This window comes from Homo sapiens, chromosome 10, assembly GCF_000001405.40.
Source record: "Homo sapiens chromosome 10, GRCh38.p14 Primary Assembly".
Classification (NCBI taxonomy): domain Eukaryota; kingdom Metazoa; phylum Chordata; class Mammalia; order Primates; family Hominidae; genus Homo; species Homo sapiens.
Genome location: NC_000010.11, coordinates 5893357 through 5907001, shown reverse-complemented (window position 1 = coordinate 5907001; position 13645 = coordinate 5893357). Strand labels below are relative to the sequence as shown.

Sequence of the window (13645 nt, the reverse complement as noted above, 5' to 3'; positions counted from 1 at the left end):
AACAGTGGGAAACTCTGTCTCAAAAAAAAAAAAAAAGAAGTCAAGGGAGATATGAGGAACCCTCCAGGTGGGGAAGGTGGGAGGATGAGAGCAACCCAGGGAGGGGAAGGAATGTGCAGTCTGTGGTCAGGGCACAGCAGATGAGCTGTAGACAGAACTCAGGGAAGCTGTGTTGAGTGGAAGTGAACAAAGAGGCTAGAGTCATAGGGTGGGGCAGACACGGAAGGCCTTAAATGCCTCTAAGGAGTCTGAATGTCTTCTGAAGGCAAATGGAAACCATTTCTGAAAAGATCCTCTGATTATAAGCGTGCATTAAGCAAAGTTACGTGCTTTTAGAGGAAACATCTCCCGACTCCAGCACTCACTCACCAGCGGGTCACTGATGATCTCCCTCCACAAGTGGCACACCAAGCTCAGGTTCCAATAGAGGTCTTCCACCGGGAGGAAGGCAAACACGTGCCTCAGGACCTCACTAGGCAGGCTGCAAATGTGGCTCAGTGCTTCCTGGCAGGGCAAGGTCCCAAGAAGCCCATAGTATGAGTCAGGAATGGGATCAGGACCCACGTCCCCAGCATCTTGGTCGGTTTCACCAGACTCCGCAGAGAGCCGAGACGTACTGTCCTCTGCTTCTTGCCTGGCCTCCCTAGGCCTTGTGCATGGCACAGACAAATGGTGCCGTGGAGCTTTCTTAGAAACTCCATCCCACCGGCTGGTCCCGGTAGCCTGGTTACTCTCTTCCTCAGAGGACCAAGACCGCTTCCTGGAGGGCGGGGCAGACCCTGGTGAGCCCGGCCCTGCACTGCCTTCCTGAGGCAGTGCACAGCTGCTCTCTGCAGGAAAGATCATGTCACCCTCAGAGTCCTGACAGCTGTCCTGGCCAACAGAATTGCTTTTGGCCATGTCATTGGTGCACGGCTGCTTGCCTGCTAGGAAGAACTCAGGGATGCATCTTTGACTTCCCTGACCTGTAGAGAGAACCCAAACAGGATGGACAAGAAATGAACGATGACTGTTGACCTGCTGTTAATCCATATAAGACACACTAATTTTCAATTATCTATGTTAATAGTGGAAAGAGATAAAAACACATTTATGGGCCAACTGATTATATAAATAACTAATCCAAACAATATTTATATTTGGCTCTATCATATTACCAGACACACATTTGCAAAGAGACAGAGACCAGTCTTCACATGATGTGATGGCCAGCAATACTCCCTGCAGTAAAAACAAGTACAGAGAAACACGCTGCACAGGGAACATCTGAATGGACAGACAAAAAGGAGGTGACTGCTCACAACCACACCGCCACTCACAAAGTGCCCCGCTCCCACTAACTCTACAACAGCAAGTCTACATGTGCTTAAGCAGAAATTCACATGCTTGGGGTCATCAGGATTCGGAAAATCTCACTCTTCTCATTTGACAGTGCTAAAACTTTTATTTTTATTTCTTTTTTATTTATGTATTTATTTATTTTTTAGATGGAATCCCACTCTGTCGCCCAGGCTGGAGTGCAGTGGTGTGATCTTGGCTCACTGCAACCACCACCTCCCAGGTTCAAGTGATTCTCCTGCCTCAGCCTCCCAAGTAGCTGGGACTACAGGCGTATGCCACCATGCCTAGCTCATTTTTGTATTTTAGTAGAGATGGGGTTTCGCCGTGTTGGCCAGGCTGGCCTAGAACTCCTGACCTCAAGTAATCCACTCACCTCGGCCTCCCGCAAAGTGCTGGCATTACAGGCGTGAGCCCCTGCGCCCAGCTTTTATTTGTATTTCTTCCTGTGAAGGTGACACATTAATTTATTTTTAAAATAAAAAGTCGGGACTCAGAATTCTCTTTATAGTGTTAGAGTGGTACCTAATCTCTTCTACATGTTTGTTCAGTGAACATTTACTAAGCACCAATGATTCTGAGACAAATGTAAAGTGAAAAACCTCACAGACTTTTCAGGAACATAGGGAACATTTTCAAACTCCTAAAAATTATTTTTAAATGCCAAAGAAGTAAACACTTTATCAATAATACATAGTTCCTTTCTAAATGGCTGTATCCAAAATATTCACTTTGGAAGAGAATGGACTGAAACTCGGTTTAGCCTTTAACAAAATTTATGAAACTGAAACAGATATTTTTCTATATTAGTAAAATTTAAAAAAAAAATTATAACGGTTAACTGTTTCTTGGGCAATCTGATAGAAACCCAGAGTTTTGACTTCACTATTACTACAGGTTAAATCCATATGATCAGGGTTAAATCCTAGCATTTTCTTTTTTAAAAAATATTATTATTATTTTAAAATAGAGACGGGGTCTCATTATGTTGCCCAGGCTGGGCTGGCACTTCTGGGCTCAAGCAATTCTCCCACTTCAACCTCCCAAACTGCTGGGATTACAAATAAGGCATGAGCTACTGCTCCCAGCCAAATCCTGGTATCTTCCAACTGTTGAATCCAGTCACACCCACAGTCACTGAGATGTCACCACGTGGTCAGGGCCACCTCACAAGTCCTTGTCAGTAAAAAACTCAAAATAGAGAAGAAACAGACTTCTATATATGGAACAAACTCAGTATCAGACAGGATATAAGTAAGTTTCAAACTGCCTCATACAGTTGGTTATAGTAGTTCCCACAGCAGGAAACATACAATAGTTAAAGACAACCAGGCTGGGAGAGGTGGCTCGCACCTGTAATCCTGGCAGTTTGAGAGGCGGAAGCAGGTGGGTCTCTTGAGCCCAGGAGTTTGAGACCAGCCTGGGCAACGTAGCAAAACCCTGTCTCTACAAAAAAATACAAAAATTAGCTAGGCATGGTGGCGCGCGCCTGTAAGTCCCAGCTACTTGGGAGGCTGAGCTGGGAGGCAGAGCTGCAGTGAGCTGAAATGGTGCCACTGCACTCCTGGATGACAGAGCAAGACCCTGCCTCAAAAAAAAAAAAGACAACCAGATAATATTTGAGTTGAATTCTGAAATTAGTTGTATCAAAGGGAAATAAGGCAATCTAGATTTATTAACTAAAGTGGGAATTCATTTGGTACATAGTGGGGACATTCCAGTTGATTTAGCAGAGATAAAATCTGAAGTCAAGGAGCAAGGTTACTGTAGTAGTCCAGGTCCTAGGTGACAAAGAGCTCAGGATGAAGGAATATTTTGGAGGAAAAACAATGACACATGGACCTAGTGACAGATTGGACAGAGAAGATGAATGAAGAGTCAACTAATCTCAGTGTTTCTGGATTGGAATAAGAGTGACACTGGCTCATGTCTTCTATCACTTTATAATTACACAAGCTAATAGGATTCATTCCATCACACTTGTCCACAGCTTTTACAAACTATGATAATAGGATAGAATTTTCATGGAAAACTCGGCGGGGCGCGGTGGCTCACACCTGTAATCCCAGCAGTTTGGGAGGCCGAGGCGGGTGGATCACCTGACGTCAGGAGTTCGAGACCAGCCTGACCAACATGGAGAAACCCCGTCTCTACTAAAAAACAAAATTAGCTGGGGGTGGTGGCACGCACCTGCAATCCCAGCTACTCAGGAGGCGGAGGCAGGAGAATCACTTGAACCCAAAAGGCAGAGGTTGCAGTGAGCCGAGATTGCGCCATTGCACTCCAGCCAGGGCAACAAGATTGAAACTCCGTCTCAAAAAAAAAAAAAAAACTTCATGGAAAACTCACAATAAAAAAAGTGTCAAGCTATTGCATGAAGACTACAAACTCACAGCAGCAACATTTACAAATACTTTTAAACTAGGAGATAGTCAAAGGACCCACACACTACAGGTTTTGAAATGCAAGAGTTTTAGAGGAGACATACCCCTACTCCCTCTTTTTGTTCTCGGTTTAGGATAGAGACCATGGTTCGGATCTCTGTTTGTCCATCTTTGACCGAAGGGCTGGGTCACAGCCAAGTGACTCCGAGCCAAATGCTGGCAGTCAATGGCAGTAAGATGCTTCCGCTTAAACCGTCTCACTGTTTCATACCAGCAGGTAGAAGAAAGGGGATATTCATTAGTTATCACCGATTCTACAAGCTAGCCAGCACATTATACTCAAGTTTCTGCATAGTGACACGATTTTGTCAACACCCCAGCCAACCGTTCCCCCCTCCCCTTGCCCCCCAACTTTGTCCTTTCAATTTCTTCGCATTTTTCTTCCTTAGAATTGAAGAATCCTAAGTGACATTTTAAGATCTTAAGTTTTTTTTTCTACTTATACTTTCTAGAAGACTTGGTCATGAAATGCTCATTTAAGAAAACGTTGTGGCTGGGCGCGCTGGCTCACGTCTGTAATCCCAGAACTTTGGGAGGTGGAGGAGGGGGCAAGACATTTTTAGTAAGTCTACTAAAAATACAAAAATTAGCTGGGCGTGGTGGTGCAGACCTGCAATCCCAGCTACTTAGGAGACCGAGGCAAGACAATCGCTTGAACCCAAGAGGTGGAGGTTGCAGTGAGCTGAGATCGCACCACTGCACTCCAATCTGGGCGACACAGCAAAAAAAGAAGTTGTCACTAGTGGATATACTGAGGTTTGGCATCTGTTCCTTAACTTTCTCCAGGCCATTTATATTTCTATTATAATCAAAAGTATTTAAGAATCGGCTATATATTTTTTTAAATAACAAAAAACTTTTATAACTTTCTTTTTTGTTAAATGGTTAAATTTTTTTTAATTGTAGTAAAAAGCACATAACATGAAAAGCACATAACTAGAAGCAAAACATCATGATAATAAAACAGGCTGCAGTTTCCTTGAAAGAAGGACCAAAGGGCACACATGTCTCAGCCCCCCGAGCCCCTTGGTATTGAGAACTGACTTGAAAGGACAGGAGCGACTCCCCCAGCCCCCAAATGGAAGAGAAGCCAATTCCTTTTCAGGACCTTTAGAGGAGAAAACTTCATATCTTCCCTTAGCAAAACACTACAGCAACAATTGCGCCTAGAATTTTGTTTCAACGGTACTGAAATACTTGGTTTTGTATTACTCATCTTCTTTCAGGTAATTCTTATCCATGTGTAACCAAGACTCTCCATGCTTCTGCATCTGTTACTGCATGTAAGATCTAGCTACCTCCTTATGGCATGAAACACTAAAATGTAAAGATACACTTCTTAAAAAATAAGAATTAGGTCAGGTGCAGTGGCTCACGCCTGTAATCCCAGCACTTTGAGAGGCCAAGATGGGTGGATCACTTGAGGTCTAGAGCTCAAGACCAGCCTGGCAACATGGTGAAACCCCATCTCTACTAAAAATATAAAAATCAGCCAGGTGTGGTGGTGGGCACCTGTAACCCCAGCTACTCAGGAGGCTGAGGCCCAAGAATCACTTGAACCCGGGAGGCGGAGGTTGTAGTGACCCAAGATTGTGCCATTGCACTCCAGCCTGGACGAGAGTACAACTCCATCTCAAAAAAAAAAAAAAAAGAAAAAGAAAAAAAAGAATTAAAGTTAGCCTTTATAGGAGATGGTCAAAAGAGAATAAAATCAGGTTCTACCAGTATCATATTTTCACAGATCCTAAAAAACACTCCAGTAGGTCGGGCGCAGTGTCTCACACCTGTAATCCCAGCACTTTGGGAGGCCGAGGCGGGTGGATCACCTGAGGTCAGGAGTTCAAGACCAGCCTGGCCAACATAGTGAAACCCCGTCTCTATTAAAAATAGAAAAAATTAGCTGGGCATGGTGGCATATGCCCCGGAGGCTGAGGCAGGAGTATCGCTTGAACGTGGGAGGCAGAGGTTGCAGTGAGCCGAGGTCGCACCATTGCACTCCAGCCTGGGCAACAAGAGTGAAACTCCATCTCAAAAAGAAAATAAAGAATACTCCACCACTAAACTATGGTATCAAATGCCAGAATCTCACTCAACATTTCTTTTTTTTTCTTTTTTCTTTTTTTGAGACAGAGTCTCCCTCTGTTGCTTAGGCTGGAGCACAGTGACACAATCTTGGCTCACTGCAACATTCACCTCTTGGGTTCAAGTGATTTTCTTGCCTTGGCCTCCCAAGTAGCTGGGACTACAGGCCCCCTCCACCACACCCAGCTAACTTTTGTATCTTTAGTAGAGACGGGGTTTTACTATGTTGGCCAGGCTGGTCTCGAACTCCTGGCCTCAAGTGATCCGTCCACCTCGGCCTCCCAAAGTGCTGGGATTACAGATGTGAGCCACTGTGCCCAGCTTGACATTTCCTTTAAGCTTGAAAATACATAAAGCCAAGACCCCAGTGATTTAGCTGATATAGTTTACAATATTTTTTCATTATTCCTCCCTAGCTAATTCAGAAATCACCCTTCCAAATTTCAGTTAACTTTTTCAAGGTTTAATACCAGCTTTTTTAAAAAAAAACTTCATGAATATTTTAAGACTTTTCCAAAATCAATTCTACAAACAAAAGCAGTTCTGAGAGCCCCTCTGAAAGGACGCTGGAAATCGTCTAACTACCTGAACTCAGAAGCTGGGTGCAACCCCATGAGCGCCAGGCCTCAGCAATCACAGATGCGCTCACTCTCACGAAGCAGCACAGCGCAGCGTGGTGAGCCGGCGAGGGCCTGGCGGGAGGGCTGGGCTGGCACCCTCAGCTGGCCACTTGGTTGCTCTATGGCTTCAGGGCACCTCAGGTCTCTAAGTCTGATAGGTCTACGGCCATACCACCCTGAACGCGCCCAATCTCATCTAAGTCTGATAAGTGTCATCAGGAACAGATGAGAAAATATGCTCAAAACTGTCTGTCAAATTATCCAACTGCATGCATACAAACTTACCTGTTTCCTCTATTTAACAAGGCTTATGTGAGTAGCCTGCCTAAGACATTGAAATATCCTTCAAATTATAAAGATGCCACCTAATGGCAAAGCAGGAAGTGTATTAGCAGCCCAAATACAGCCAATTCTGTATTACTGGAAATACCTTCTAAACTAACCAGTAACATGTCTCGCTTATTATGAACAGAAAAGCAAACACCCCCTCCACTTTGATGGTTTTGTGCTGGTTTGTGCTGGTTCTGTAATGTTGCTGACCAGTTTATTTAGAGGAAAACAACAGCAAATCATCTTATTCACACAGAAACAAAATATGAATGTGAAGTTTCTCTACATTAAAAACTAAATTTGAAGTTTTCTACATTGGAAAGAAAACAAAGTCTTGTTGTTCTCTTTTTAAAAAATAAGATGAAATTTTATTTCCTGTGTTCAAAACCCTTCATATTACAAATATAACGCAAGGACTATTTTGCCTGAATGGGGACCTCTGGGCATATCTGCAAAAGAGACAGGTAGAGCGGCAACATGGCTTCCAGAACACCCGAAAATCCTGGGTGAGGTGCCCCACACAATGCTCAACAGCAGGAGCAGCTGCAGGACTCCGGGCAGCAAATCCACAGGCCCTATAGATCCAACAGAGTGGACTCATGCCTGCTTTTCTCTCTCCTCAAACAGTCCCAATTGCTTCAGAGCTGGTCAGTACAGTATCTACAATTAGAACTGGAGACACTATGTGTCCTGATGAAGGGTAAGGAAAAAAGGAAAAAAATAAAATAAATAACTGGAGACACTCACTAAAGAAAGTTACCAAGAGTGAATATCTCACTTAAATAGGAGGTGAACATCTACTGCCACAATGGCCTGGAGAAGAAAAGCTTTCATGGATAAAATCATGAAGGAAAAAAACAAAACAAAACAAAACAAACAAAACAAAAAATCACAAAGGAGCAAGATCAACATCAAACCACTCATATCTGAGACCCAGGACCTCAGGCCAGCTGCAGGCCTGCTTAGCTGAATGGTGTGTCAGGTACCGAAGGCTTCTGAAAGTCAACGAAAAGGCACATAACCAGTGAGAAAATCAGGCTCAGTTGAAGGGTCTGATGCCCACCCAAATCTATGATGGCCTTCTACATTTGGCTTTTGGAAACAGCTACAAACAGAGGCTGGCAGATTTGTATAGAAGAGGTACCTACACATGCAGGGTGAACCCTGGAACGTTTTTTGTGAAGTATGTAAGAATGGCTTTATCGAAGCCTTCTGCAGCCACCTCACTGTAACAACGGTGCATTGATAATGACCATCAATGAGATGGAGATGTCTCATCACATGCCTGAGAGTCGAAAAGACAGTAAGCATGCCCCAAGGTAAGCAGCTAGCCCACCTGGTTCACTGCTGTAACTCTGTATGTAGATAGCGTGGGGCCAGACATATAGTCTGTGCCATGTACTCAACGTTCATGTCCCTGAAATTCACACACTGAAATCCTCACCCGCAAGGTGACGGTATGAAGTGGTGGGGCTCTGGGCCAGGCACAGTGGCTCATGCCTGTAATCCCAGCACTTTGAGAGGCCAAGGTGGGTGGATCACTTGAGGTCTAGAGTTCAAGACCAGCCTGGCAACATAGTGAAACCCCATCTCTACTAAAAATATAAAAATTAGCCAGGTGTGGTGGCGGGCACCTGTAACCCCAGCTACTCAGGAGGCTGAGGCCCAAGAATCACTTGAACCCGGGAGGTGGAGGTTGCTGTGAGCCAAGATTGTGCCACTGCACTCCAGCCTGGACAATGGAGAGAGATTGTGTCTCAAAAGAAAAAAAAAAAATGCGGTTCTAGGAAGTGATAAGGTCACAAGGGTGGAGTCCCCACAAATGGGATTAGTGCCCTTATAAGAGAGGTCTCAGAGAGCTCCCTTACTCCTGCCACCATGTGAGGACACAAAGAGAAGGTGCCGTCTATGAACCAGGAAGCGGCCCTCACCAGACACCAAATCTGCTGGCACCTCGATCTTAGACTTCCAGCCTCCAGATCTGTGAGTGAGAGAGACTTCTGCTTATAAGCGGCCCAGTTATGGTATTTTGTTATACCAGCCCAAATGGACTGAGGCAGCACACGTTCTGTGAATACTGAGTGGGTCAAGAAGGATGAGGAGCAGGGAGAAGAATTCGGCTGGGAGGTCCAGGAGCCTACACTCTAATCCCTAGGAATATACTACAGAACTGCTCCCACAGGGAGACCTCCCTGGTAGCTCACAACAGACTGATGACAGAACATCAAAAATGTTCAGTCCCAAAGGGAACTGCTTTGGAAAAGGTAATATGAACAGGATAGATTTTTATTTATGTATTTATCTCAGAAAATACGTCTGAATCCAAAATGCTTGTTGCGAAGATTAAGTGTTTGCAGAAATCTAACAAAGACACAGGAGTAACAGAAAGTGCTAATGGGAGTGTTGGAACACTGTGTTCTGCTTCAAGGGAGTCCCGGTATATTCCAATATGTTCTGGCATGAAGCCACCCTGGGAGGAACTGAGGTTCGGTACCGGGGGAGGGGCGCTTAGACTGGTGATCTGGCCTCTGTGCACTAAGATAAGTAACCTATATAACTGGAATGGCGTTACCAGCCATAGTTTGGCTGGCGGGAGAGCTGGTACTTTTATTGGATTTTTATTAACACTTTTATTGGATTCCCCACCCCTTGGACTTATTGGATATATGTATCAAAAATAACTTTTCTAACGTCAGCTGGAGGTCAGGAAAACTAACCTGTATCTCTGGTCTCAGAGAGAGGTGCTGTGATGCTCTGAACTGGGAGCCAGGAGCCCTGTGTCCACCTCCTCCGCAGGAGCCCTGTGTCCACCTCCTCTGCAATTACACGCTTTACACTTAATGTTCCCTTAAAGCCCCTCCGAGGCTGTGGGGTGCAGGAGAAGACCCACACTTGGCAGGTATATTCATCGCCAAAGCCTTGCTTATGAAAACGAGGATTATAATAACCTGCCATGCTGAATTCAGAGAATGAGACAATATATATGTAAGTACTCAAGCCACCCACATTGAGGGTGACAACACCTATCTCTAAATCTATGTCAACACCTAGCAACAGAAACGTCAGAAGAAATATGTGACTACCACACCAATCTGAGGGTCTCCTAAGGCACATCAGTTTTAATAGCATTAATGTTCTTGCTAAATGGTTAAAAATAAAACCAAAACACTACACTAGAATTCTAATCACCCTTCTATTCTTATTAATATACCTTTTTAAAAAGCAGTTCAAAAATAACTTTATCAAAATAAGAATGCTCAAATGCTACTTCTTCCATAAAAATCCTCCTTCCCTGAGTCACGCAAAGCTCATGGTATGCCTCCCTCTCTACACAGCAAGTGCACTTTACACCTCCTGTAAAGGGCATTTACTGTTAGAAGCTGCTTGTGATTCTTTAGGGAATGAAATTATCTGTGGTGAATGACCACAGATAAAGGGAAGCTGTGTCTAAACTAGGGGTTCTTGTGGGTGCAGAGAGATTAGAATCACTTACGGGGCTTTGCAAACTCTACAAGGCCCCCAGAGTTGTTGAAATTGGTCTCCTACACACCAAATTCGGCATCTGTGCTCCCACCCTTGGACACTCTCTTCCACAATAACCAACAGAAATGTGTTAGAGCCCTCAGGTGTCAGGGTAGAAAAACCAGAATGTACACAAACCATTTTGTCAAATGAATATTCCCTAGGCTTAAGTAAGCTCATTCCCACACTGCCTTTTCTGTGACGGCTTTCTAACAGTGTGACTTCTCTGTCCTCCACCCCAGGGGTCCCCATTCCAGGACCCACCTCTCTTTGCTAACCCTCAGCTTTTAGCCCTACCCCAGCAATTCCTGGCCTTTGCTGACTTTGAAGTGGTCAGATCTGGAGTTTAGCCCTCCACCACCCCTCAAATCTCTTCACCTTGATGACAGTCTATCCCCTCCCAGCCCACTCTGACCCACTCCATGCCCTGGTGAGGTCCCCCGATGGAGATGAGACCCTTATCAGTCTCCCCTGAACGAGTCCTTACAAGAACTCTGCTACGGGGAACTAAAAGGAAGGGACCACGTCTATCCCCTCATTCCTCAAAGTGCACAAGGGGGAAACAAGAGACACTCCTGCAGTCGCAGAGTGAGAACTGCGTGTCTGCCACTCCTCCCCTATGCTTTCATTTGCCTGGCTTCTTTTTTTAATCTTCTTTATTGAAAACAACTTACAAAACAAGTCACAGAAAGTGAAACTGAGTGTTTCAGGTTTTGCTGCAAAGAATGTTGTTGCTCTTCTCCCTGAGCACACAGCTGGGCTATACTTCCCAGTCCTGCGTGCAGGTGGATGTCGCCTTACCGCTGGGTGCCAGCCAATGCAATGGGAACAGCAGCAGCACACGCCTCTTCCAGACCTGCCCTCCACTCTTCTCCTCTTCCCCTTAACTGGGAAGCTGATTCCCAGGACATCCTTAGAAGCCGGGTGTTCAAAATAGAAGAGCCTCCAGCAGCCTCAATCCTCGGACTACTGCTTTAAAAAGAACCCTCCCTCCCCACACCTACACACACAAACTCCAACCACCACCATGACCTGTAGCCTCCTTAGATTGTTATGGGATTGAAAAATAAACGTCTATTGTGAGGCCATTACATGTCTGGATCTATTTGTCACTGCAGCAAAGCTTACCCTAACCATTCAGGATCATTTGAAATGGATACCAAATAATTTCCTTTCTTCCTCTACCTTTACTAATCAGAATTCATACCAAAAAGTCCTTTAAAACTTTTAGGTTACAGACCTAAATGGACAAGATGAAGACAATAAGTACCTAGAATTCCTGGAAGTAAATATTATTATTAAATAATTGCTTTTTCAAAAAAAAATCAAGTTGACTCGCTAGTACAAGGTACCTGACTGGAGAAACTGCTACAATACCATACCCAACTTTAACAAAGATCCACAGAGGGCAGTTTTGCTAATCTGGACAATTTTGGAGTCAGCTAACCGCCCTGGTCAGTTTCCCACATGCCTCTTACTTTCAGCGTGCTCTGTGAAGACCAGCAAGTGGGCACTCGTCCTCTGGCATCTCCTGTGGAGATGGCCCAGGGGCCCTGCGCAATGTAGCCCATTATCACATGACTCAGGCACTTGACAGGTCCAATGGCAGCCTGTGAAACGGGAATGGCCCAATTTCAACAGTTAACTGTGTTATCTCTCAACTCCAGCACCATAAAAGTATTCACTCAAGCCAGGAAGCACTTCGCAGGAATAAAACCGCCCTGTACACCCGAGATACTTGTAACAATTCTTTGTGTAAGTGTGCATTTAACATGTGTCTTATATGAATTATTGTTTTTAATTGCACTGTATTACATATTATATTAATAACAATTATTTGTATAAGTCTGTATTTAATACGTCTTCCATCCCAGACTAAAAGCTCTCTGCTCTAGTGGGAAGGAGTAGAGAGGTACTCACACCCAGCATGTAACACACATTGCTTCATAAACAATTCCTGATTAAACGAACAAATGTGCAGCTGCAGCACTTCTTCTGAAGTGTGGGCTGTCTTCCTTGGCTTTGAAGCTCTCAACTCTCCCAGAGCTCCTAAGTGCTTTACAGCTTTTGCAGTTCTTTCCTATATTCTCGTCTGACCCTCAAAGCAATCCTACAATTGTGCCATGATTAAGCTGGGGCTCAGAGAGGACTTGCCTGAAGTCACCTCGTAGCTCATGAGTGATGGTGCCAACACAAGAACCCGGGTCTCCTGACTCCCCTAGTCCAGTGCACTTCCTACTGTGACATTCTTCACTCTGTATCTAGACACCTTGAAAGCAGCTTCTGAAAACCTCAAGTTTAATTTCCATATTACATTTTTTTAAAATCATTGTGAAATGTCAGAACCAAAGAAATTGAGAAGTATTTGGAAAACATAACTATAAGGAAAATACCACTAAATGCTGTAGACCCGAAATGGAAAAACTTCAAAATATTGTGTCCCCATTAGCTCTAAAAGAAACGAATGCAGAAAGCAAGCAAAATAGAGCTCCAGCTCCTTTCCCAGGTATTCACTGACGCAGAGCCAGGCTACCACAGCCTGCTTCTCCAGAAATCCAAAAGTTCCCAGGCAGTAAGCTCAATCTCCCCGGGATCCTCTCACATCTGAGACACCTGTGACTCCCTTGGAGACAGCACTCGTGTATGACAGCCAACAAGGATGGGCTGGGCTTTCCGTTCTATGTTTTTCCTAAAGAAAGAAAGGAATGTTTGAAAAACAAGAGAAAGATCACTACTTATGGTCTAGAATATAATTTTATATATTTGAAAGGCTTTTTCTACAGTCAATTCATTCCACAACTACTTTTACGTATCTGCTATGTCCCAGATTCATTTTAAACTCCATGAGAGCTTTGTCTTATGGTATCCTTGGTGTTAAATGCTATTTTAGACATTAGTGATACAAAAGTGAATAAGCCTACCCATAAGGCAGCTACCAAAACAAACACAAGTTACTAAAGATAAAGTAATATAACAACTACATAAATGCATGCATGAAGTGTTATGATAGTAAAGAAACATAAATAGAGTTAGGCAAGTTGAAAAAGGCTTCACGAAGAGTTGAGTCTTGAAAGAATCATGGGATTCAGTAAGGCGGAAGGAAACAATGTGTGCAAAAATACAGAGGCATTAACAATGCACTAGAGTGGCAGGAAAGCTGGGCTTCATCAAAACAAGAGGTTCCCTGATGAGGAATGACAGGAGATAAGGCTGGAAAAGGAATTTGGAGCCACAGACTACAAAGGTCCTTACACATAATGATAAAGAAATTGGGCTTCAAAAAAAGAAATTGGACTTTATCAGGTAGGG

General features: G+C 44.2%; 1 protein-coding gene across 26 annotated transcripts in view; it reads right to left on the bottom strand.

Annotated features, from left to right (window-relative positions):
• Nucleotides 1-13645, bottom strand: part of FBH1 (F-box DNA helicase 1) — a 48022-nt gene that overhangs the window by 30592 nt on the left and 3785 nt on the right. For 5 of the 26 annotated variants that reach the window (NM_001258452.2, NM_001258453.2, XM_017016844.3 and 2 more), the window contains 2 exons: nt 3827-3982; nt 370-965 (listed from right to left, as the gene is read on the bottom strand). The exons of 2 other annotated variants lie outside the window; for them this stretch is intronic. In NM_001258452.2, the coding sequence (NP_001245381.1) occupies nt 370-900 (531 nt within the window). In that variant the 5' untranslated portion in view covers nt 901-965; nt 3827-3982. Of the gene's footprint in view, nt 1-369; nt 966-1714; nt 1734-3826; nt 3983-6449; nt 6470-9531; nt 13026-13645 lie in introns of those variants that run through there. 19 more of the 26 variants (XR_007062013.1, XM_047425893.1, XM_047425903.1 and 16 more) reach the window with 11 other exon arrangements.